This window comes from Homo sapiens, chromosome 6 (genome assembly GCF_000001405.40).
Source record: "Homo sapiens chromosome 6, GRCh38.p14 Primary Assembly".
NCBI lineage: Eukaryota > Metazoa > Chordata > Mammalia > Primates > Hominidae > Homo > Homo sapiens.
Window position 1 is genome coordinate 35,297,818 of NC_000006.12, and position 24,619 is coordinate 35,322,436.

Sequence of the window (24,619 nt, forward strand, 5' to 3'; positions counted from 1 at the left end):
AGTGTCAGAGCCGCCCCCAGCCGGGCGGGCGCCTCAGCCATGGCCCTGCGCAAGGAACTGCTCAAGTCCATCTGGTACGCCTTTACCGCGCTGGACGTGGAGAAGAGTGGCAAAGTCTCCAAGTCCCAGCTCAAGGTGAGGGGCACCCGGGACCCGGGGGAGGACGGCAGATGCACCACACCAGCCCCTGCCGCCTGGGAGCCAGGTGTGGACACTGTGCCACTCCAGGGGCACCCAGCCATCCAGCGTCCCGGGCCTGGGGTCGGGGGGCTGGTCCTGGGTAACTGGGCCAACGTAGCCTGGTAGATGCCGCTGCCCACCCTCCAGAGACCTAGTGAAGTGTGTGCAGAAACCTTGCGCAGAACTGGGCCCCACAACTGGAGGCCAGGAGGTTCTGAGGGCCATTATGGGGTTCTGAGGGCCAGGAGCCAGGCCACATCCCAGACTCTGTGTGATGAGCACACACACCTCCACAGAGTCATGCTTGGGCACGCAGTGTGCTCTTTCTTGCTGCTTCCTCCTGACTTTCAAGAGAAACAGTTAGCCAGTGCTTGGCAGTCATTTCCTCTGGAGCTGAGAGAGGCATAAAGGGGCCGCCCCCAGTCCCAAACCTGTCTGGCCTGTCTAACCCTGCCCGCCAGGTGGGACAGAGCTGCGGAGTGGGTGAGGACTGAGGACCCTATTATACTGCTACGCAGCTCACCCCCCTATCCACCACACATATCAGGTTGGGAAACTTACCTTAGGCCTTGAGACCTCAGGTAGGGAAGGGGGAGAATCTAAGCCCAGGAAAATCCCAATCAATGATTGTCCTGAAGTCAATCATCTGGCCTAGACAATTTCTGGGAGGCCAAGGAGTTTTTCTCTCTCTTCCTCTAGTCCTCCAGTAGTGCTGCCTTCCCTACCCTAGTTAGTGGGGAGGAAGCAAGGCCCTCAGCCACTAGAATCAGCGAACACTGGGGGAAAGGAGCAAGGTAGGCCTCAGCTCTCTAGGACCTGCCATAGGGGTGCCTTCGTTCACTCTGCAAGTACTTGAGTGCCCCTCGTGAGGCTCTGTGCCTGGCATGTGGCTAGGCACTAAACTGGTGTCTCCCTGCCCCATCCTCCAAAGGAGACGTGTGGTCTCAAGGAAACCTCCATTCTTAATGACCGAGGTAGAGGGTGCTGGATACCTGAGAGATGAATGGGACAGAACAGTTATTGTGCCCCACCACCGTTCCAACCCCCTACTTTACTGAACTTGGATGTGAGGAACTTGAATATCCCAAACTGGTCCTATGTTAAATTCCTTACCTGGATTTGTGAGCATCTAATAGATGATTTCACTCCCCCAGGAAGGAGAGCCCACTACTATCTTTTGTCACCTAGGGAGAACCTCCTAACAGGCAGATTCTTCCTTACATCCTATTTAAATCTCTTGTATTGCAGATCATGTCATTTGGTTGGGTCCTCAGTATAAATGGAAAAAAGTCGATCATCCAAAATCCATTTCTGCAAACTCTGTGTCCCACCCCTACCTCCCACCCTGTCCCTTTAATATCTTGCCAGACAATACCAGCCCCCGTGGCTTTTTGCTTCCAGGGTAACATTTTCCACTTCTGTATTACCTGTGGCCACTGAGACCTCTCCAGGCTCTCTCTGCCCTTCACATGGAAAGTACAGCCTTTAAGTGGCTCCCCTTTTCCTGGTGCCATCAGCCAGTAAAGCCTCCTAGCTTGAGCCTCTGTCTTGCCCTCTAAAAGGGCCACTACCCACTCCCTCATCCCCACAGGTTGCGTATTTCTAGGGAAATACTCCATGGAGAGCTTGCATGCTTGAACTGTCCACTGTCTGTACCTCATCACAGCTCATATTGAACCTACTGCCAGCAACATCTCTGGTCACACAGGATCAATTATAGAGTTCCCTCCTACTTGACAGAAAACTTGTCAACTCTGGAAACCTGGGCTAACAGTGGGAGTCTCAGGGGCCAAGTGGGGGTGGGGCGGAAATGGCGGGGCTCCTTTCAAGCCCATAATAGTGAATATTGGAAGAGGAGGAAGTAGTGATAGTGTTGGGGGGCGGGGATTCCAGCAAAGCAAAGGAGTAATAGAGAAGTGGTCAAAAGGCAAAGGAGGAAGCAGACGAGAGAGTTATACAAGCAGGGCCCACCTCTCCCCAGAAAAGACTTGGGGATGAGGGAAAAGACCTTGGAGTCAATCTGGTTTTTTGTTGTTGTTTTAGAGATGAGATCTTGTTCTATCACTCATGCTGGAGTGCAGTGGTGCAGTCATAGCTCACGACAGCCTCAAACTCCTGGGTTCAAGCGATCTTCCTACTTCAGCCTCCTGAGTAGCTGGGACTACAGGCACATGCCACCACGCCTGGCTAATTTTTTTATTTTTTATTTTTTAGAGCCTGAGTCTCATTATGTTGCCCCGGCTGGTTTCAGACTTCTGGCCTCAAGTGATCCTCTGGCTTCTGCCTCCTGAGTAGCTGGAATTATAGTCTTGAGCCACCTCACTGGGCTGGTTACTAAAACCATCCCTAGCGTTAGGGTCCTGGGTTGGAACCTGGCAAGAGACCTGCACTAGCCCAGGGCAAGATGTGTCGGTGCGTGACATTTGCCACTTCTCCCCTAATGTGTTGGTAGACGGGCTCCCAGTGGCTGTCCTGGGCAAACCCACGATGAGGCCAGAGGGTAGGAGGAAGAACAGCACGTCCTCTGAGAAAAGCCCAAGGAGTAGGGTTGTTTCTCCTGGAAAAGAGAAGGCTTGAGGGAAAAACCAGATACTTCTTTCTCTCTTTGAATTCTTGTAGAAAGTACAATGGCTTCATCCAGTTGGGTTGAGAACAGAGAAAGTAAACCAATAGGAATGGCACTCCTGCCCAGGATGGATTTAGGTTGAACACAAAACTTCCCAGGAGTTGAGGGCTGTGAGTTCTTGCAAGGTTCCCAGAACCGCCTCTAAAAACCTTTGGAAGGTAGCCATCCTGACAGAGGGCTATAGAGAGGGGAGCCCTTGGGAATGATGTGTGTCCTACTGAACACACCCTCTTACCCAGGGGAGCAGTTTTGATTTTAGAACTAGTGGAGGATCAGCTGATAATTTGGCCTCCTTCCCCACTGACTATCAGGCAGTGGGGTGAAGGGGTATGTAGATGGAGCAGTGTGTCTCTGGTTTGATGAGGATCTTTGGGTGGCACCAGGCCTACCACTTCCTCCTTGACTGGCAGGAGCTGGGGGAAGGGAGGGAGGGTAGACAGGGGCCTTCCAGTCTCCTGCACCTCCAGCTGATATTCAGGGCAGTCCTGGAGCCCAGAGTGAGACTCTTGCCCACTGAGAATCAATGAGCTTCAGGTTTTGCCTCCTCTGGAGAGGGACAACCACCTTCTCCTTAGTGGAGGAAAAGTTAAGAACAGCTCCAGTCCAAAAACCTGCTGGCTGGCTAGGATCATTAGCTTTGTCCTGACCCCTGTGTGCTACTGGTCTCCCCAGGCTAGGATTTGTGGGTAGGGAGGGGAGGATGATTTAATGATGTGCAGAGCACTTGACTCAGAACCACGCAGGCTTGGATCCGTACTGCTCCCCATCTGGGTGACTTTAAGCAAGTCACTGTCCATCTTCAGTTTCTCATCTATAAACCAGGGGGTTGATCACCAAGCTGTCCTACAAAACTAAAGAATAAATTCTGTACCTCAAGTAGGTAAAATTGGTCTATGATGCAGCCTCTCCTTTCCCTTAACTGGGCCTCTGTCTCCTTTGATGCCCACACCCAACCCCTACAGCCCCTTCTTGCTCTCAGCAGGTGACACAGCTAATCCAAAGATTCCCACCTTTTAAAATTTCCAGTGTTCCTCCATGATAGTAGTTATGCTTTTCTAGTAACCCACTAGAATACATTTGGTAACTCTTAAAAGGAGCTGTGTCTTTTTTTTTTTTTTTTTAAGACAGAGTCTTGCTCTGTCACCCAGGTTGGAGTATAGTGGTGCAATCTCAGCTCACTGCAACCTCCACCTCCCAGGTTCAAGTGATTCTCCTGCCTCAGCCTCCCAAGTAGCTGGAATCACAGGTGCCCACCACCACGCCCAGCTAATTTTTGTATTTTTAGTAGAGCCGGGGTTTTGCCATGTTGGCCAGGCTGGTCTTGAACTCCTGACCTCAGGTGATCCACCTGCCTTGGCCTCCCAAAGTGCTGGGATTACAGGCGTGAGCTACTGCACCTGGCTGGATCTGTGTCTTTTAAAAGGATCACTTGGAACCTAGATTCATTTAAAGACCTTGCTGGGCAAGGTGGCTCACATCTGTAATCCCAGCACTTTGGGAGGCCATGGCAAGAGAATCACTTGAGTCCAGGAGTTTGAGACCAGCCCTGGCAGCATAGCAAGACCCCAACTCTACAAAAAATGAAAAAAATTAGGCATGATGGCTCCTGCCTATAGTTCCTGCTACTCTGGAGGCTGAGGTGGAAGGATCGCTTGAGCCCGAGAGGTCAAGGCTTCAGTGAGCCATGGTTATACCACTGCATTCCAGCCTGGGCAATAGAGTGAGATTCTTTCTTAAAAAAAAAAAGTCAATTTAGGAGAGAATTCTTTCTGAAATCATTGCTGGGTGCTTTTATGGATTCCCAAACCCTGGGGATCCTGAAGGCTGGAAACTACAGAATCAGTTCTTGCTGACTGTTGCCAACATGGACCTGACACCCACACTTGAGTTTTTAGGATCCCCAATCCCCACACTTGAGTTTTAGAGGATCCCCCAAGTCCTGAGAGGAGAACTACTCCCCTACATGCCTCCAGAGGAAAGAGTGAATAGATGAAGCATCTCAAAGGTCAGTGACTGCCAACTCAGAGGCCAGAGGCTCCCTGGGTTTGTGGAGACTGTGGGAGTCCTCTCTGAGGAAACCCAAATGGCAACTTGTGAAAAATACACCTGGACCCCACCCCTGGAAACTCTGAGTCAGTAGGTCTGGGCTGGGCGGGCATGTTTCAGTTTCACCAGTTCTCTGGGTGATTGTGGTGCTCAGCCAGGGCCAGTGCACTGTAGAGATCAAGAGCAGGGCTTTGGAGTCAGACCTTGGGCAAGACGCTTCCTCTCTCTGAGCCTTGATTTCCTCATCTCTAAAATGAGGATAATGAGAGTCCCCTGATCCAGGGCTGAGGACTGATGGAGATCTGCAAGTGAGCTCCTGCTCACAACTCCTCTGTCACTGCCATTTCCTTTGCAGCATGACCCCTCCCCTAGTCACACCCTCTCTCCACCCCCAACCCCTACCGCACCCAGGCACAGGAAGCTGACAGTCTGAGGTCGGCCCAGCTCTCTGGAGAGAGGCCCTGAGTGTCTGGGCATTTAATTCTTCCTTGTCCTACTATCTGACAGCACGCGGGGGTCAGAGTCTCTGCCCTGGGTTCTTCAGGATCCAATGGCAAAAGTGCAGGTGAGGTGCAGGTCTTAGGGACAGTACAGGGCGACAGAACTAAGCTCAAATAACTGTGCTGTTATGTGGCAGGTTCTGTCCTGGGTCGGGGAGGGCATTCATAGGTCCTCTCCTAAGACTCCCTTTTTAGAGAGATGAAAACTGAAGCCCAGTAAGGTTAATATGCTCACTGGGATTTAGTCAATCTCTGTCTGGCTTTTGTATTTTGTCTGCTTCTTCCCATGAAGTGTTTAAGTTCATTCAAGAGATACTTAATGAGCATCCATTAGGTGCCAGGCCCCGTGATACCACAGTGAAAAAAACGCAAATGTTTCTACCCTTGTGGTGCTGACATTCTAGTCAGAGGAGGCAGATAATAAACTAAATGAAATGTACAATATGATGAAAGATGATACATGACATGGAAGAAAATAAAGCAGAAATGGGTAGGGATCATGGAGGTCAGGCAGGATTGGGTTACAGGTTTAAATAAGGTGATCAGGCCGGGCAGGGTAGCTCACACCTGTAATCTCAGCACTTTGGGAGGCTGAGGCGGGTGGATCGCTTCAGCCCAGGAATTCAAGACCAACCTGGGCAACATAGTGAAAGCCCGTCCCTACAAAAGATAGAAAAATTAGGCCCAGCACGGTGGCTCTTGCCTGTAATCCCAGCACTTTGGGAGGCCGAGGCGGGTGGATCACCTAAGTCAGGGGTTCGAGACCAGCCTGGCCAACATGTTGAAACCCCATCTCTACTAAAAATACAAAAATTAGCTGGATGTTGGTGGCAGGCACCTGTAATCCCAGCTACTCAGGAGGCTGAGGCAGGAGAATTGCTTGAACCCGGGAGGCAGAGGTTACAGGGAACTGAGATCACACCATTGCACTCCAGCCTGGGCACAAGAGCAAAACTACATTGCAAAAAAAAGAAAACACACACACACATATACACACAAAAATTAGCCGGGTGTGATGGCGCACGCCTACAGTTCCAGCTACTCAGGAGGCTGATATGGGAAGATCACCTGAGCCAGGGCGGTCGAGGCTGCAGTGAGCTGTGATTGTGCCACTACACTTCAGCCTGGGCAACAGAGTGAGACCCAGTCTCAAAAGATAAGGTGATCAGAGGATATTCCACCTGGTCAGGGAATATATATTCCCTGAGAAGGTGTCATCTAAGTAAAAACAGGGAGGAGGAAAGGGTTTGAGCCATGCAGTGACCTGGAGAGAAATATTCCAGGCTGCAGGAACAGTAAGTGCAAAGGCCCTTGGGCAAGAATATGCCTGACCTGCTGGAGGAACATTAAGAAGGCAGAATGGCTGGAGGCAAGTAAACAAGAGGGATGAGGTCAGAGAAGGTGCAGCAGGCCAGGTCACATGGGGCCTGGAGGCCTGTGGAAGGACTCGAACTTTTACTCTGAAAATTATGGGAAACCATTGGAGCATTTGAGTTAGACTTTAGGAGTCAGTCAGAAACATTCAGTGAATGGGGGACATTATACTATCTTTGGAGTCAAGGTTGAGATTAGAGTCATTGCTGCCCTCAAGGAATGTAGAACACCCAGAAATGCTCACACAAACAGTGAACAGCAAAAGAATATTATTATAGAGCAACTTAATAGGGCAAATTAATAACTGGGTTAATGGCACCCTTTTTCATCCCTATTGTTTTAAATTTTATCCTAAAGACAATATATTCTCCTGGTTTAAAAAAAGAAAACACACAGAAGAATATAATGTTAATGAAGAAATTCGGGGCTGCGCTGTGGTAGCTCATACTTGTAATCCCAACACTTTAGGAGGCCGAGGCAGGAGGATCTCTTGAGCCCAGGAGGGCTCTTCCTGCCTCGGCCTCCTAAAGCATTGGGATTACAGGTATGAGCCACCATGGCCTGGGCAATATAATGGGAACTCATCTCTATGAAAAAAAAGAATTTTTTTTTTTTTTTTCCAGACAGGGTCTGGATCTGTCACTCAGGCTGGAGTTCAGTGGCACGATCTCAGCTCACTGCAGCCTTGACTTCCTGGGCTCAAGCAATTCTCCCACCTCAGCCTCCTGAGTAGCTGGGACTACAGGAGTGTGCCGCCACACCCGGCTAATTTTGGTATTACAAAAAAATTTTTTAACTTAGCTGAGCATGGTGACACATGCCTGTAGTCCCAATTACTCGGGAGGTTGAAGTGGGAGGATCGCTTGAGCCTGGGAGGCGGAAGCTGCAGTGAGCAGAAATCGTGACACTGCACCCCAGCTTAGGCAACAGAGTGAGACCCCGTCTCTAAATAAATAAACAAAAATAAAAATGAATTTATTATAAAATTAAAACATGTTAGTGGTAATTTTTTTTTTGTGGGGGTGTGTGTGTGTATGTGTGTGTGTGACAGAGTCTCACTCTGCCACCCAGGCTGGAGTGCAGTGGCACTATCCTTCCTGGCTCACCTCAACCGCCACCTCCCAGGTTCAAGCAATTCTCCTGCCTCAGCCTCCCTGTAACTGGGATTACAGCCGCCTGCCATCACACCCAGCTAATTTTTGTATTTTTAGTAGAGATGAGGTTTCGCCATGCTGGCCAGGCTGGTGTTGAACTCCTGACCTCAAGTGATCCGCCCACCTGGGCCTCCCAAAGTGCTGGGATTACAGGTGTGAACCACTGCGCCTGGCCAAATTTGTTTTTTTGTTTTTGTTTTTGTTTTAATTTTTAGATGGAGTTTCACTCTTGTTGCCCAGGCTGGGGTGCAATGGCACAATCTCGGCTCACTGCAACCTCTGCCTCCTGGGTTCAACTGATTCTCCTGCCTCAGCCTCCCAAGTAGCTGGGATTATAGGCGCCTGCCACAATGCCTGGCTAATTTTTAGTATTTTTAGTAGAGACAGGGTTTCAACATGTTGGTCAGGTGGGTCTCGAACTCCTGACCTCAGGTGATCCACCTGCCTCGGCCTCCCAAAGTGCTGGGATTACAGGCGTGAGCCCCTGCACCCGGCCCAAAAAAATTTTGAAGTAAAGAAGAATATAATGTTGGCCGGGCGCGGTGGCTCATGCCTGTAACCCCAGCACTTTGGGAGGCCGAGGCGGGCGGAACACCTGAGGTCAGGAGTTTGAGACCAGCCTGGTCAACATGGCAAAACCCCGTCTCTACTAAAAATACAAAAATTAGCCAGGCATGGTGGCGGGCGCCTGTAATCTCAGCTCTTCGGGAAGCCGAGGAAGGAGAAGCACCTGAACCCGAGAGGCAGAGGTTGCGGTGAGCCGAGATCACGCCATTGCACTCCAGCCTGGGCAACAAGAGTGAAATTCTGTCTTAAAAAAAAAAAAAAGATGAAAGTTTCTCCCCTCACTCTGGAGAGGTGATCACTGTTAACAGTTTGTGAGTCTTCTAGATTCTTTCTGTATACAAATAAACAGGTTGAACCATATGAAATTTCTGACACTTGATTGTTTTGACCTACTGAAATACTAGTTTCATATAATTCGACCTAATCTTTGCACATGTATTTGACAAACATTTCATTCTGTAGCTTGCTTTTTTTACATGCCAGTGTAGTATGCATATCTTTCAATGTCTGTTCATATAAACATAACAAAGATCACCCACAACTTTTATTAAGCAGTGCACTATGCACCAGGTACTCTTCACTCAAAACAGCCTTTGGAGCAGACCCTATCATTATCCTCACAGAGGAGGAGACTAAGGTGTTGGAGAATTAAACATTTGCCCATGAGCACACAAGTGGGAAAAGTGAAATCTTTCCAGCTACATACAGTGGTTCCTGACATGGTATACCTGTTTCCTACTGGAAGAGCCTCAGTTTGTCTCCATTTTTTCATATTATAAACAATGCTTAATGAGCATTCTTGTATCTCTCCCATGAGTGTCTGTAGGTTGGATGATTAGAAATGCTGGGGTGGCCGGGCGCAGTGGCTCACGCCCTGTAATCCCAGCATTTTGGGAGGCCGAGGCGGGCAGATCTCCTGAGGTCAGGAGTTTGAGACCAGCCTGGCCAACATAGCGAAATTCCATCTCTACTAAAAATACAAAAATTAGCCGAGCATAGTGGCACGCGTCAGCAATCCCAGCTACTCAGGAGGCTGAGGCAGGAGAATCACGTGAACCTGGGAGGCGGAGGTTGCAGTGAGCCAACACCGCGCCACTGCGCTCTAGCCTGGGCGGCAGATTTGGAACGCGTCTCAAAAAAAGATAAGGACACGGGTAGTTTGAAAAGAGGCCAAGAGACAGCAGATGAGAATATATAAAACTTGAACACTTGTCACTTCAGAAGTGGTCAGTGGATGTTGGCATTATTCTCTTGAGGTGGTCACCCTGGGTTTTAAGTGCTAGGCATTGAGCCAGTGGCACCCCTTAGAGTGGGGATTGGTATTCTATGACCACAGATGTGTTAGGCAAGACTTTCCTGGAATTAGTGATAAAACCAAACTCAAATGGCTTAAGGGAGAGGGGATTTATTGGCTCACATAACCAAAAACTCCAGGGATAACTGCCCAGAGGGAAATGAGGGAAAAAAAGGAAATACTCCCTTCCTGGGATCTCCCACTTCCCAGTTTGCCAAGGAAAACTGAGCCCCAGGAGGACACTGAGGCAAAGTCTCAATACTTTCTCCCCCTCCTCTCTGAAAAGAGAATAAAATGAAGGCTTGGCACACACACCATCTCCGAGACAGTGCTAGCTCCTGCCTCCTAGGAACTGATTCCAAGGTGAACTGCTGGTGGTGGAAGAAGCCCTTCAATATAGCATGTATTGATTGCACTTGATGTACAAAAGAGGACATAGATGCTGAGGGACATAAAGATGAACAGAGACCTTGTCTCCAGAGTTCACAATCCAACGGAGGAGGGAGACTTGACATCAGTATTCTAGTAGGAAGGCAACCTGTGAACCAGGCACATTTAGTTTCAACCTCAGCTCTGCCATTTACTCTTAAAATTTCCAAACCTCTGTGTCTTCACCTGAAAAACAGGCTTAATAATATTTGCGTATATAGGTGATTGTGAAGACTAGAAATGGGGTATAAAAAGCGCTTTGACTGGGTGTAGTGGCTCATGCCTGAAATCCCAGCACTTTGGAAGGTCCAGATGTGAGGATCACTTGAGGCCAGCAGTTCAAGGCCAGCCTGGGCAACATATGCAGACCTCTGTCTCTACCGAAAAAAAAAAAAAAAGTTTTGGCCGGGCATGGTGCCTCAGGCCTGTAATCCCAGCACTTTGGGAGGCCGAGGTGGGCGGATCGCCTGAGGACAGGAGTTCGAGGCCAGCCTGGCCAACATGGTGAAACCCTGTCTCTACTAAAAATACAAAAATTAGCTGAATGTGATGGTGGGTGCCTGTAATCCCAGCTACTTAGGATGCTGAGGCAGGGGAATCACTTGAACCCAGGAGGTGGAGGTTGTAGTGAGCTGAGATCATGCCACTGCACTCCAACCTGGGTGACAGAGTAAGACTCCGTCTCAAAATAAAATAAAATAAAATAAAATAAAATAAAATAAAATAAAATAAAATAAAATAAATAAAATAATAAAATAAAATAAAATAAAATAAAAAACAGTTTTAATTAAATAAACCACCTCCTACAGTGACCGGCATATGGTAAGTGTGCAATAGTAACTAGTGACTTTTTAATCATTTACACTGCTTGTGACAAATGCTATAATAGAATTACCCCAAGGAGATTTTATTTTCACCAGATTTCAGATTTCAACCCCTTTATTCTAATATCATGGATTTGTTCAACAAACCCACATTTCCCCTGCACACCATTATGACCACTATCCCTTCTAAGCCTTGCCCTCTCCATGTCATGGACCATTTTTCATGACCCTTCTTTGAGCCCTCTCCTCTCCCAGAGCAGACACGCTTAGGTGATAGGCACACTGCAGCCAGGACACTGAGTCTTTGATGGAAACCATGATAAATTGGCAGCTTCTGCCCTGGGGTGGCAGACTAAGTCCCTGCAAACCCTGCAAACTGTCTAGCATTGTGGGAAGCACTTGGGCTTTGGAATCTGATGGAGATGGATTTGAACTCCAAGCTCTTGTTCAGTGTGGGTCTTTTGGCAAGTTACTGAATCCCTTGAGCCTCAGTCTCCCTGTCTGTAGAAAGAGGACACCAATACCTAATGAAGTGGCTAAGAGTATAACTGCATGGGTTTGAATTCCAGTTCTGCCAGCTGTGACCTTGGGTGAGAAATATCTCAGGGCTGCAGGAGTTTTCATTTGTAAAATGGGTATATGAGTAGTTGTTATGGTGGTTAAGCAAATGATATGTAAAGTACTTTAGCTCAGTGCTTGGCACATAGTATATAAGTTTTAGTTATTACTGAACTGAACAGTGTGTGTAGAGAACTCAGCCAGGATGGGGTGAGGACAAGCAGAGAGGTGGGGAGCAGTCCTCTGGCCCAGTTTTGGTTGGGGTGCAGAAAGACACACTGCCACTCTACTCTATCCCAGGTGCTGTCCCACAACCTGTACACGGTCCTGCACATCCCCCATGACCCCGTGGCCCTGGAGGAACACTTCCGAGATGATGATGACGGCCCTGTGTCCAGCCAGGGATACATGCCCTACCTCAACAAGTACATCCTGGACAAGGTGGGGCCCAGCTTGTAGGGAGCATCTGTAACCTCTCCCCACTTTTCCAGCCTGGCCAGCAGCCTAATACCTTGCCACTCCAACTCTTCGCCCCTGCCATAAACTCCTACTTCTGCCTGCTCTGTCCGTGACTGCTGTCCCATCACGTCCCTCACATCCCAGCCACCTGCCCCCTTCCTGTCCCCCTCAATTCACCTTCAATGTCCCTCATCTCTAATGAGGTGGGCCCCACCCTACCCATAACCTTCCACCGAATCCCTGCCCGGCCCTCCTCCAGCTTCCAGGGTTCTCCACCCTTCCCAGACTGTCCCCCTGAACTCCCCCTCCAACTCCTCCAATCTGTCACTGTGTTTCCAGGTTCTTGGCTCTTAGCTTCCTGCTGGGTTTCTCCTTCTTTGTCCTCTGGGCTGAAAGACTAGAGTTAATCTGTTGTCAGGGGGCCTGGGTGGGTGTGGGTGTGTTGTGGAGGGTGGAGTGGTTGGAACCAGCTAGTTACCTGGTAATCAGCTCAGGGATCCCTTGAGTTAGGGCCCTGGACTTGGCCAGGTGGGGAGCAGGGGCATAGATGAACCCAAGAAACCCAGCTGGAGCCTAGTGTCGTGGTAGAGCTGAGATATGCAGTCAGCTGATTTGCAGCCCTGGTGGCAGGTGGAGGAGGGGGCTTTTGTTAAAGAGCACTTTGATGAGCTGTGCTGGACGCTGACGGCCAAGAAGAACTATCGGGCAGATAGCAACGGGAACAGTATGCTCTCCAATCAGGATGCCTTCCGCCTCTGGTGCCTCTTCAACTTCCTGTCTGAGGACAAGTACCCTCTGATCATGGTTCCTGATGAGGTGAGGGTGATGGCAGCCCCAGGGACTGAATCACTTGGGACCAGACCTAAGCAAAACCATGAATGAGACCAAACCACCTTTGGTGCCTTCCCATATCCCCTTTCTTTCTTTACCATCTTCCCATGCTGGTATCTGTCCTCACCCAGCTGTCTCCAGATGCCTAGAACTGCCTGTGTCAGAGTAATTTTGCCTTCTTCCAGGAAAACTGAAATTACACTTTCATGAGGGTTCTGCTGGTCCTCACTGTAGGAAAATGATCTGCAAATTCTGTTTACACAGAGGTCTAAATGCCAGATACATTACTGAGCATTACTGGCAATCTAGGAAGGGTGCTTTTTTTTCCTTTACCTTTTGCCACTTCTTCCAGGACAGGAAGGATGCTTTACAAGGCAAGGGGAGACCTTTCTGAGACAGGAGGTTACTCTGGTTCCAGATTTTCCCTTTCTGCCTTTCTTCTGGAAAGCCAGGACAAACTCAGCTAAGAGACCCAGGGATAGGGCATCCTGGGAGAAAAGGCTGGGAATCTGGTCCCTATCTCCTTACTCCTGGGTGAAGCCAGGGAAGGCATTTTCCCATCCACCTGTACCCTCCCTCTTATCCTCACTTCCCTCCCCTGCCCATTTGGCCTTGTGACCCTTTAGTCCTCTTGGTGGCTGTGGAGATGCCAGGGTGACTTTAGGTCTTTAGAGTGGGGTTTACAGGAGAGGGGGCTTCTGTACTTACAAGAAGCCCTAGCATGTCAAGCTCCACTCACATTTGTCCTGGCTTCTGTTTGTGGGAAGGGTGATGAAGGGAACCACCCGAGCCCTGAACCAGTGCCCTCTACTAAACACCCAAACAAGACCCAGGATCCCCCAGAAAGTCCTAAACAGAGTGTCCCAAAAAGCTGCTGGGGCAGGTGAGGGACATGTGTCCATCTGCACATACACTTGGCTGGCTGCCCTTGTTAGACCCCTGCCAGTCAGGGCAAGGTGGCCTCGGAGGCCAGGAGGTTGTTTGCTTCTGCGATCAACATACAGAGTTAACAACTGCAGCAGGATGTACCCCAGCCACCACTTCCGGTTCCTCTGTAACAGGTTTCCTGTCCCTGCCCAGCTTACCTCTACTCCCCACTCCCCAACGCCTACCCCTACCCCAAATCCCCTTCCTCTCCCACAAGGGAAAGATCCCCAGGGTTGGGGATTGGGGCTTGGAATAAGGACCTGAATGGGATTCAGGAGATCAGAATCGGGTTCTGGCTGCCCCCAGTTTGCTGTGTGACTTAGAGCCAGTCACTTCCCCCTTTGGGCTTTTTTTTGGTCATCTGCAAAATGAGTGATTGGATGAGAGGGCCTTTGCACTCCCTTGACACTTTCTGTGATTTATTGCCTCTTTCTGGACCCCAGATCTCAGGTCCCCTTCACCTTGCCCTTAAGACAGGAAGGAGTGGGACTGGAGGTTGTGGACGGGGAGAGAAAACCTGAGTTGGGGTTGGGGCTCCAGGATCCTCTCCCAGGTCTTTTCCCTGGCTCCATAACATTCGGTCCTCTGGCCCCCTCAACGCTCTGTCCCCTGTTTCCCTCTGCCCAGGCTCTGGGAGCCAGATAGAGCACTCCCTGGTGTTGGTGCTGGCAACACCACCTGCTGCAGCTACCAGGCCTTCCTTCTCCTGCTCCAGGTGGAATACCTGCTGAAAAAGGTACTCAGCAGCATGAGCTTGGAGGTGAGCTTGGGTGAGCTGGAGGAGCTTCTGGCCCAGGAGGCCCAGGTGGCCCAGACCACCGGGGGGCTCAGCGTCTGGCAGTTCCTGGAGCTCTTCAATTCGGGCCGCTGCCTGCGGGGCGTGGGCCGGGACACCCTCAGCATGGCCATCCACGAGGTCTACCAGGAGCTCATCCAAGATGTCCTGAAGCAGGTCAGGCAAGCTGGGAACTAGGGGAAGCACACAAGGTGCAGGGCGAAGGGGGGCCTGGGAAGCCTCTGACGTAACTCCGGCTGGCAGGGCTACCTGTGGAAGCGAGGGCACCTGAGAAGGAACTGGGCCGAACGCTGGTTCCAGCTGCAGCCCAGCTGCCTCTGCTACTTTGGGAGTGAAGAGTGCAAAGAGAAAAGGGGCATTATCCCGCTGGATGCACACTGCTGCGTGGAGGTGAGGGGCAGGATGGGGGTGGAGGACATCTCAGGGCCCAGAGTGTCCTCAGGGGCATGAGAAGACAAGGGGGTCAGGAGAGGGGCAAATGGAGAAAAGCCACAGTGACACAAATTCCTGCTTAGATTAGTGTGACCCAAATATATCCGGATGCCTCAAGGCCATTCTCATCCACGTCAGCACTTAAAACTAAAACTGCAACTCAAGCACCAAAGTAATTGGTGAATAATATGGAATTTGCTCAAGATTTCAGAGGAAGTGGCTTATATCTATACTACACAGCAAATCTTTCTAAAAATCCCTTTTAAAGGTTTTTCTTCTTCACCCATATTCCATTCCCTTTAGCAACTCTGTACTTCCCTATTCTCCTTCCATACCCCTCTCCTCTGTCTTCCCCTTCTGTTTCCTCCCTTGTGTTCATCACTATTTTAGAGGCTTAAAACACAAGCGTCTTTACTATTTTAAATAATATGTATATATGTGTGTGTAACATGAAACTTCCCATTTTAACTATTTTAAGCGTACAATTCAGTGGCATTAAATACATTCATGAAATTAAAAAATTCTTTTGATATATAACAGATGTACATATTTTCAGGGTACATGTGATAATTTAATACATTCATATATTTTATAAAAATCAAATCATGTCATTAGGTATCCTTTACCTCAAATATTTCTTTATGCTAGAAACATTCAAATTATTCTCTTCTATTTTGAAATATACAATAGATTATTGTAAACTGTAGCCACCCTACTGATCTATTGAATCCTAGGTCTTATTTTTCCTGTCAAACTGTATGTTTATACCCATTCATCAACCTCTCTTTGTCCTCCCCCCACACTTCCTGGCCTCTGGTACCACTAATATACTCTCTATCTTCATGTGATCCACTTTTTTAGCTCCCACATGTAAGTGAGAACATGCGATAGTTGTTTTTCTGTGTTTGGCTTATTCACTTAACAAAATGACCTATGGTGCCATCTATGTTGTTGCAAATGACAAGATTTCATTCTTTTTATGGCTGAATAATATTATATATATCACATTTTCTTAATCTATTTATCCACTTCTGGGCACTTAGGTTGATTTCATATTTTGGCCATTATGAATATCTCTGCAGTAAACATGGGAAGGCAGATATCTCTTCAATATATTGGTTTACTTTCTTTTAGATATATACCCAGCAGTGGAACTTCTAGATCATATGATAGTTCTATTTTTAGTTTTTTGAGGAACCTTCATACAGTTTTCCATAGTAGCTGTACTAATTTATATTCCCACTAACAGTTTATCAGGGTTCCCCTTTCTCCACGTCTTCTCCAGCATCTTTTTACAGAAAAGATATTCTTGGCCAGGCGCAGTGGCTCATGCCTGTAATCCCAGCACTTTGGGAGGCCGAGGCTGGTGGATCACCTGAGGTTGGGAGTTTGAGACCAGCCTGGCCAACATGGTGAGACCCCATCTCTACTAAAAATACAAAAATCAGCCGGGCATGGTGGTGGGCGCCTGTAATCCCAGCTACTCAGGAGGCTGAGGCAGGAGAATCGCTTGAACCTGGAGATGGAGGTTGCAGTGAGTCAAGATTGCACCATTGCACTTCAGCCTGGGTGACAGGAGTGAAACTCTATCTCAAAAAAAAAAAAAAAAAAAAGATGTTCTCTATTTTTTTTGTAAAAAGCCATTTTAACTGGGATGAAATGATATCTCATTTAATTTTGATTTGCTTTTCTCTGATGATTAGTGACATTGAGCATTTTTTCATATCTCTGTTGACCATTTGTATGTCTTCTTTTGAGAAATATCTATTCAGATCTTTTGCCCATTTTTAAACTGGATTATTTGGTTTTTTGTTACAGAGTTGTTTGAGCTCCTTATATATTCTGGTTATTAATCCCTCGTCAGATTGATACTTTGCAAATATTTTCTCCTATTCTGTGGGTTGTCTCTTCACTTTGTTGATTGTTTCCATGGCTGTCCTGAAGCTTTTTAGCTTGACATAATCCCATTTTTCTATTTTTGGTTTGGTTGCCTATGCTTTTGAGGTCTTCCACAAAAAATCTCTTTGCCCAGACCAATGTCCTGGAATATTTCTCCAATGTTTTCTTCTAGTAGTTTCATAGTTTCAGGTCTTACATTTAAATGTTTAATCCATTTTTATTTGATTTTTTTATATGGTGAGAGATAGGGGTCTAGTTTCATTCATCTGCATGTGGTTATTTAGTTTTCCCAGAACCATTTATTGAAAGGACTGTTCTTTCCCCATTGTGTGTTCCTGGAGCCTTTGTCAAAAATGAGTTCTCTGTAAATGCATGGATTTATATCTAGGTTATCTATTCTGTTCCATTGGTCTTTGTGTCTCTTTTTATGCCAGTACTATGCTGATTTGGTTACTATAGCTTTGTACTACATTTTGTTTTTTTGTTTTATTTTAGAGACAGGATTTTTCTCTGGTGTCCAGGCTGGAGTGCAGTGGTATGATCATAGGTCACTGCAGCCTCAGTCTCCTTGGGCTCATGGGATCCTCCTGCTTCAGCCTCCTGAATAGCTGGGGCTATAGGTGTGTACCACCGTGGCCAGTTCGTAGTGTATTTTGAAGTCAGGAAATGTGATGCCTCCAGCTTCGTTCTTTTTACTCAGGCTTACTTTGGCTATTTGAGGTCTTTTGTAGTTCCGTATAAATTTTAGGATTTTTTTTCTATATCTATGAAGAATGCCTTTGCTATTTTGACAGAGATTGCACCAAATCTATAAATTGCTTTGGGTAATATTGTTATTTTAACAATATTAATTTTTCCAATACATAGCATGGGATATCTCTCCATTTTTTTGCATCCTCTTCAATTTATTTCATCAGTTTTATAGTTTTTCTTGTATAGATCTTTCACTTTGGTTACATCGATTCTTAGGTATTTTACATTCTTTGTAGCTGTTGGAAATGGGATTGCACTCAACTTCTTTTTCAGATTGTTTGCTGTTAGCGTATACAAATGCTACTGGGTTTTGTATGTTGAATTATCCTGCAACTTTACTGAATTCATTCATCAACTCTAACGGTTTTTTGTTGGAGTCCCTTTTTTTTTTTTTTTTTTTTTTGAGGAGGAGGAGGAGTCTTGCTTTTATCGCCCAGGCTGGAGTGCAATGGCACGATCTCAGCTCACTGCAACCTCCGCCTCCCGAGTTCAAGTGATTCTCCTGCCTCAGCCTCCCAAGTTAGCTGGGATTACAGGCACCTGCCACCACACCTGGCTAATTTTTTTTTTTTTTGTATTTTTAGTAGAGACAGCATTTCACCGTGTTGGCCAGGCTGGTCTCAAACTCCTGACCTCAGATGATCTGCCCACCTCGGCCTCCCAAAGTGCTGGGATTACAGGTATAAGCCACTGTGCCCGGCCTTTTTTTTTTTTTTAAGAGAGAGACAGGATCTCACTGTATTGCCCAGGCTGGTGTCGAACTCCTGGCCTCAAGCAATCCAACCACCTCAGCTTCCCAAAGTGTTAGGATTACAAGTGTAAGCCACCACGCCCCATGGAGTCTTTAGATTTTTCTAAGTAGAAGACCATGCCATCTGCAAACAAGGCTAATCTGACTTCTTCATTTCCAGTTTGGATGCCCTTCATTTCCTTCTCTTGCCTAATTGCTCTGGCCAGAACTCCCAATACTACATGGAATAAAAGTGGTAAAAGTGGGCATCCTTGTCTTGTTCCAGATCTTAGAGGAAAGGCTTTCAATTTTTCTCCATTTATTACAATGTTAGCTGTGAGTTTGTCATAGATAGCGTTTATTATTTTAAGGTATGTTGCCTCTATACCCAATATTTTAGGGCTTTTATAACACGATGTTGAATTTTTTTAGAAAGCTTTTTCAGGGTCTATTGAAATGATCATATATGGTTTTTGCTCTTGGTTCTGTTACTATGATGTGTCATGCATATTGATTTGTGCATGTTGAACCATCCTTGCATCCCTGGGATGAATCCCATCTGATCATGGTGAAAGATCTATACTCACAATATTGTACAACCATCACCACTATCTATTTCCAAAACTTTTTCATCACACCAAACAGAAACTCTGTACCTACCAAGCAATAACTCCTCATACTCCCTGACCCCAGCTCCTAGTATCCTCTATTCTGCTTTCTGTCTCCATGAATTTGCCTTTTCTAGGTATCTTACATAAATAGAATCATAAAATATTTGTCCCTTTGTGTCTGGTTTCTTTTACTTAGAAATGTTTTCAGGCTTCATCTATGTTGTCAAATATATCAGAATTTCATTCCTTTTTAAGGCTGGATAATATCCCTAACAGTGTGTGAGGATCTCAGTTTCTCCATTTCCTTACCAACAGTTGTTTTTCCTTTTAAAAAATTATCATAGCCATCCTAGGATCTGTCTAATTTTGTCACATAAGGTGTTACTGTGGAAAGGAGCACGGATCTACGCAGAAGTCCAAGCCTCATCACTAACAGACTAACAGTGTGAGGTGGACAATCCTGGAGCTCTTAGTGCCTCAGTTTCTTTCTCTGTAAAGTGGAGCTAATAATGCCTGCCTGGCAAAGCTGTATAGGTGGAGTGAAGATAATGATGCATATAAAATACTAGTACAGACTCTAGAATGTGGTAGCTATTATTTTCCACAGAATGTAAACTTAATGGAGGCAGAGATTTGGTCTGTTAGGCACACCTTAGTATCCCAACCCCTGGAGCAGTGAGTGGCACTCAGTAGGCACTCCAAAAACATCTGCGGAATGAATGAATGAACTCTTAACAAGCAGGGCTATGTGGAAGTGAGTTGTCATGGATAGTGAGGACCCTGTTACTGGCAGTGTTCAAGCGTGATCTGCATAAACACTGAGTGGCGATTATGTACTGGGCCCCGTGGAATAATAGCAAGATGGAAACGCACCCACCTAGCCTTCAAAGAGCAAAGGCTACAGAGTTGTGGGGACTTAAGTCCCCCATAACTTATGATGCAAGCCATGCAGGCTCCTGGCAGAGTGGGGTCCCCAGGGAAGATAGCCAGGAGGGCTAGGGGCTTGAGCTGGAGCACCCTTGGGGCAGGTGGGGCCCTGACCCAGTGAGGCCAGCCTGGCTGCGGCCACCTACCCTGTGCCAGGTGCTGCCAGACCGCGACGGAAAGCGCTGCATGTTCTGTGTGAAGACAGCCAACCGCACGTATGAGATGAGCGCCTCAGACACGCGCCAGCGCCAGGAGTGGACAGCTGGTGAGTGCTCGCTAGGTGGCTTGGGTCTGGGTGGTCCTTAGGCGCCTCATCTGTGAAAAGGGGGTGATAATACTTTGTCCAGCGGGAGGTTGGAGAGTGGACTCGGGAAACTCCTAAGGCCCCTTTCGGGCCGTGTGCGAGGATCCTACTGACCCGCTCCCGCTCTTCGGCAGCCATCCAGATGGCGATCCGGCTGCAGGCCGAGGGGAAGACGTCCCTACACAAGGACCTGAAGCAGAAACGGCGCGAGCAGCGGGAGCAGCGGGAGCGGCGCCGGGCGGCCAAGGAAGAGGAGCTGCTGCGGCTGCAGCAGCTGCAGGAGGAGAAGGAGCGGAAGCTGCAGGAGCTGGAGCTGCTGCAGGAGGCGCAGCGGCAGGCCGAGCGGCTGCTGCAGGAGGAGGAGGAACGGCGCCGCAGCCAGCACCGCGAGCTGCAGCAGGCGCTCGAGGGCCAACTGCGCGAGGCGGAGCAGGTGGGGTTAGCTCCCGGCGCCGGGGACGGGACCGGTGGGCTGGGAGGCTGGCCAGGGGCGGAGCGCCGGGGGCGGGGCCTGGGCAGAGGGCGGAGCTCCTGGGTTGAGGGGCGTGCACTGGGGTGGAGCTTGAAATGAGGGATTGTTGGGACAGAGTCCGCGGGTTTGAAAAAGAGATTTGGGATGGGGCTTCCGCCAGGGACAGAACCTGGGGCTAGGAAAGGGGTGTGGGGCGAGGTCCGAGCCCGTGGATGGATGGGGCCTGGTTCGGAGACCTTGGCTGTGGGTTGGGGCTTGGGCAGAAGGAGCCGTTGAAGACCGTGTGATTGGGGATTAGACTGGACCAAGTTTGGACTAGACTTGAACTAAGTTTACAGTGAAACCAGTTTGAGAGGCAAGCGGGACGCGTATGGAGGCGGACTAGGTGTGCAGAGGCAATTAGATTTAGGATTTAAGAAACCTGGATCTGGAGTCAGAAACACGTAGATTCAATCCTAGCTCTGCTTCTTACGAGCCCCGTGATCCCAGGCAAGTTCATTTTACTGAGCCTTATCAGTAAAATGCTAATGCTAATAGAACTTTGCTCACAGAGGTACGGTGAGGATTAAATGAGGAAACACTTGTAGTGTCCAGTAACTTTTTGTTGTAATAATTGTAGTTATAGTCACATCCTTCCTAGCATCAGCCATGATTATAACATATTATTATATATTATAATAATTATTAAGTTAGTGCTAGGAAGGAGATGACCATATTTTTATATCTTATTTAATTATATAATGTTGTTTAATTACATGTTATATAATTATGATTAAGGTTGGTACTAGGAAGGAAATAACTTGAGCCCGTTTCCCCCACGTGGCATCTGTTCACCGACCATTATCTGTTCCAGTCAGGCTCTCAGAAAGGGGTCAGATCAGGAAACCCCAACATGAAGGAGTTCCCCAGACCCTCACCCCTAGGCAGCTTAGCAACATGCCCACCCCCTCCTCCTCCGCCCCCACGTGCCCCTTTTGACCTGGCTCTTGGTCCACCACCTCCCCCCTCCACAGGCCCGGGCCTCCATGCAGGCTGAGATGGAGCTGAAGGAGGAGGAGGCTGCCCGGCAGCGGCAGCGCATCAAGGAGCTGGAGGAGATGCAGCAGCGGTTGCAGGAGGCCCTGCAACTAGAGGTGAAAGCTCGGCGAGATGAAGAATCTGTGCGAATCGCTCAGACCAGGTAGGCCTGAGGAACCTCTTCTGGTTCTCTCACCACCCCTCCTGGAACACACCCCAGTTTTCCTGCTTGCTGTGCACCTGCAAGGTGCCTTGGCACTAGAGGCTACACAGTACACACTCACCCGGCAGACTGCTGGAAGAGGAGGAAGAGAAGCTGAAGCAGTTGATGCAGCTGAAGGAGGAGCAGGAGCGCTACATCGAACGGGCGCAGCAGGAGAAGGAAGAGCTGCAGCAGGAGATGGCACAGCAGAGCCGCTCCCTGCAGCAGGCCCAGCAGCAGCTGGAGGAGGTGCGGCAGAACCGGCAGAGGGCTGACGAGGATGTGGAGGTGAGGCCTGGGGTGGGATGGGGTGGAGGCTGGCAGGGTGAGCTCATTAGGGCACAGGCTCTGGAGCCAGGCTGCCTTCCCTCAAACCCTGGCCCTAGCAGCTGCTGGCTGTGTGACTTTGGACAAATGCCCAAACTTCTTGGAGTTAGTCTCTCACCTGGGAAACTGGTAATAGCGTTGTTATGAAGATTAAATGAGATGATACATGATACTTAGTACGTAGTAAGTGCTGAAGAAACATTTGCTGCTATCTTTGTTCACATCATTATTAATCTGGGGAAAAATTTTTCCTTCTACCCTTCCAAGCCCCTGTCTTGCTATCCTTGTACTTTGGCTCTACTCCTTGGAGCTTTAATCTCCATAAATTCAAACACAGAAATATGGAACATAGAAAGGGAAAATTCCTCCATGATCCCCCCCACCTCACAACCACTGCTAATGGCTCCGTGAAATGTTGAACAGAGGTTCTTGGATTAGGTGCTGGAAAGGTGGTGTAGTGCAGTGGCTTAGAGCTCAAGTGTATCCCTGGGCAAGTCACTTAACCTCTTTTGAACTTTTTTGTTGTTAACTTCTGCTCTGGAAGTTAAATAAGATAATAAATATGCTTAGCACATCTTAGCTGCTCAATAAACGGAAACTATTATTATGGTTACATTTTATCTTTTGGAAGTCCATGAGTCCCATGAAATTGGAGGCAAACTCTATTCATGTATGTATTAATAACTCTATGAGCATATATGGTTTTTCTCTGGGGAGATGATCAGTAGTCTTGGTCAGATTTTAAGCAGCCTGCGAACCTGAAAAGATCAAGACTCCATGCCATGGATGATGGTTCTGATCACTCCCCACTGGCCCTGTCCCCACAGGCTGCCCAGAGAAAACTGCGCCAGGCCAGCACCAACGTGAAACACTGGAATGTCCAGATGAACCGGCTGATGCATCCAATTGAGCCTGGAGGTGAGAAGGAATAGACTCTGGAGCTTTCCCTGGAGCTGGGAGGGAGAAAGGAGGGAGAAAGGTCTCCCTGGGAGACCTCCAGATCTCCCAGGGCCAGCAAAAGCAGGACTGGCAGTCAGGAGGCTCCCCTCTCCTCTGAGGGCTGAGGCAAGGCCCCTCGCCTCTCACCTTTGCATGCCTTTCTCCTTACTTGCCTGCCTTCTCTCTGCCAGATAAGCGTCCGGTCACCAGCAGCTCCTTCTCAGGCTTCCAGCCCCCTCTGCTTGCCCACCGTGACTCCTCCCTAAAGCGCCTGACCCGCTGGGGATCCCAGGGCAACAGGACCCCCTCGCCCAACAGCAATGAGCAGCAGAAGTCCCTCAATGGTGGGGATGAGGCTCCTGCCCCGGCTTCCACCCCTCAGGAAGATAAACTGGATCCAGCACCAGAAAATTAGCCTCTCTTAGCCCCTTGTTCTTCCCAATGTCATATCCACCAGGACCTGGCCACAGCTGGCCTGTGGGTGATCCCAGCTCTTACTAGGAGAGGGAGCTGAGGTCCTGGTGCCAGGGGCCCAGGCCCTCCAACCATAAACAGTCCAGGATGGAACCTGGTTCACCCTTCATACCAGCTCCAAGCCCCAGACCATGGGAGCTGTCTGGGATGTTGATCCTTGAGAACTTGGCCCTGTGCTTTAGACCCAAGGACCCGATTCTTGGGCTAGGAAAGAGAGAACAAGCAAGCCGGGGCTACCTGCCCCCAGGTGGCCACCAAGTTGTGGAAGCACATTTCTAAATAAAAACTGCTCTTAGAATGAATTATTGGCTCAGGTCTGTCCATCTCTCCTGCCATTTCCTCCCTTCCTCCCTCAAGCCCCGTTATAGGTTCCAAAGAGCAGTAAAAGTATAATAAAGTGGTTAAGAAAGACCCTGCAGCTAGACTGCCTGGGTTCTGAACCTGGCTTTGCTACTTACTAACTGATTGACTTTGGTCAATTTTCTTTATATCTCTGTGTTTCAGTTCCCACGTTGGTAAAATAGAGATAATGACTGTACTTACCATATAGGGTTATATGAGGATTAAGTGGCACACGAGCAAGCACCATTATTAGAATCAGCCAAAAGTGTTTATTGAGTGTCTACTGCAGTTTTCCAGGTTATTTAATTCTCATGACAACTCTTAGAGCTGGAAATCACCATTGGCATTTTACAAATGGATGAATTGAGGTTCAGAGAGATTTGGCAACTTTACCAAAGCCTTTCAGACTTGCTTTTCTTCCCATCATCTCTGACTCGCTGACCTTGTTAGCCAAGACAGAGATCTGGGTATTTAGGAAGATTCATGTCCTCTCTCTCAGCCCCCTCATCCAAACCCCATCATCAAATCCAATAGACTCTCTCCTTCCTACTCTCCTATCTGTCCCTCCTTTTCCATCCCCATGGCTACTGCCATGGCTGAGGCCTTTGTGTTTTCTACCTGGTTG

The 24,619-nt window shown here is 48.3% G+C and overlaps 1 protein-coding gene across 2 annotated transcripts, besides 5 other annotated features; it reads left to right on the top strand.

Moving 5' to 3' along the window:
* Positions 1–23,954, top strand: DEF6 (DEF6 guanine nucleotide exchange factor). Of its 2 annotated transcripts, NM_022047.4 has the most exons (11): positions 1–135; positions 11,853–11,993; positions 12,642–12,827; positions 14,485–14,721; positions 14,809–14,955; positions 20,074–20,182; positions 20,356–20,654; positions 21,707–21,873; positions 22,002–22,200; positions 23,067–23,157; positions 23,370–23,954. In NM_022047.4, exons 1-11 carry the CDS (start codon positions 40–42, stop codon positions 23,591–23,593), a joined length of 1,896 nt encoding a protein of 631 aa, NP_071330.3. In that variant the 5' UTR covers positions 1–39; the 3' UTR covers positions 23,594–23,954. The 2 variants fall into 2 exon arrangements, with proteins under 2 accessions (NP_071330.3, XP_047274794.1); XM_047418838.1 differs by lacking the exons at positions 1–135; positions 11,853–11,993 and having other exon boundaries at positions 14,397–14,721.
* Positions 5,038–5,167: an enhancer, noted in NCBI's record as "active region_24397". NCBI's record gives its function as "activates an Ori minimal core promoter by ATAC-STARR-seq in GM12878 lymphoblastoid cells {active_cell/tissue: GM12878}" and the evidence as "EXISTENCE:reporter gene assay evidence [ECO:0000049][PMID:35858748]".
* Positions 5,038–5,369: a biological region, named in NCBI's record as "Sharpr-MPRA regulatory region 9100".
* Positions 5,075–5,369: an enhancer, noted in NCBI's record as "tiled region #9100; K562 Activating DNase unmatched - State 5:Enh". NCBI's record gives its function as "activates a minimal TATA promoter and a strong SV40 promoter by Sharpr-MPRA in K562 cells {active_cell/tissue: K562}" and the evidence as "EXISTENCE:reporter gene assay evidence [ECO:0000049][PMID:27701403]".
* Positions 5,368–5,567: an enhancer, noted in NCBI's record as "active region_24398". NCBI's record gives its function as "activates an Ori minimal core promoter by ATAC-STARR-seq in GM12878 lymphoblastoid cells {active_cell/tissue: GM12878}" and the evidence as "EXISTENCE:reporter gene assay evidence [ECO:0000049][PMID:35858748]".
* Positions 14,729–15,228: an enhancer, noted in NCBI's record as "H3K4me1 hESC enhancer chr6:35280323-35280822 (GRCh37/hg19 assembly coordinates)". NCBI's record gives its function as "activates a minimal SCP1, AML or CMV promoter by ChIP-STARR-seq in naive H9 embryonic stem cells {active_cell/tissue: H9 hESC(naive)}" and the evidence as "EXISTENCE:reporter gene assay evidence [ECO:0000049][PMID:30033119]".
* Positions 23,955–24,619: the final 665 nt, after the last annotated feature.

Excerpts from the sequence above, each read along its gene's own strand:
- DEF6 (NM_022047.4), top strand. The coding sequence starts at position 40 with ATGGCCCTGCGCAAGGAACTGCTCAAGTCCATCTGGTACGCCTTTACC. Across the intron at positions 136-11,852 it reads TCTCCAAGTCCCAGCTCAAG|GTGCTGTCCCACAACCTGTA; the intron begins GTGAGGGGCACC and ends ACTCTATCCCAG. Across the intron at positions 23,158-23,369 it reads GCATCCAATTGAGCCTGGAG|ATAAGCGTCCGGTCACCAGC; the intron begins GTGAGAAGGAAT and ends TCTCTCTGCCAG.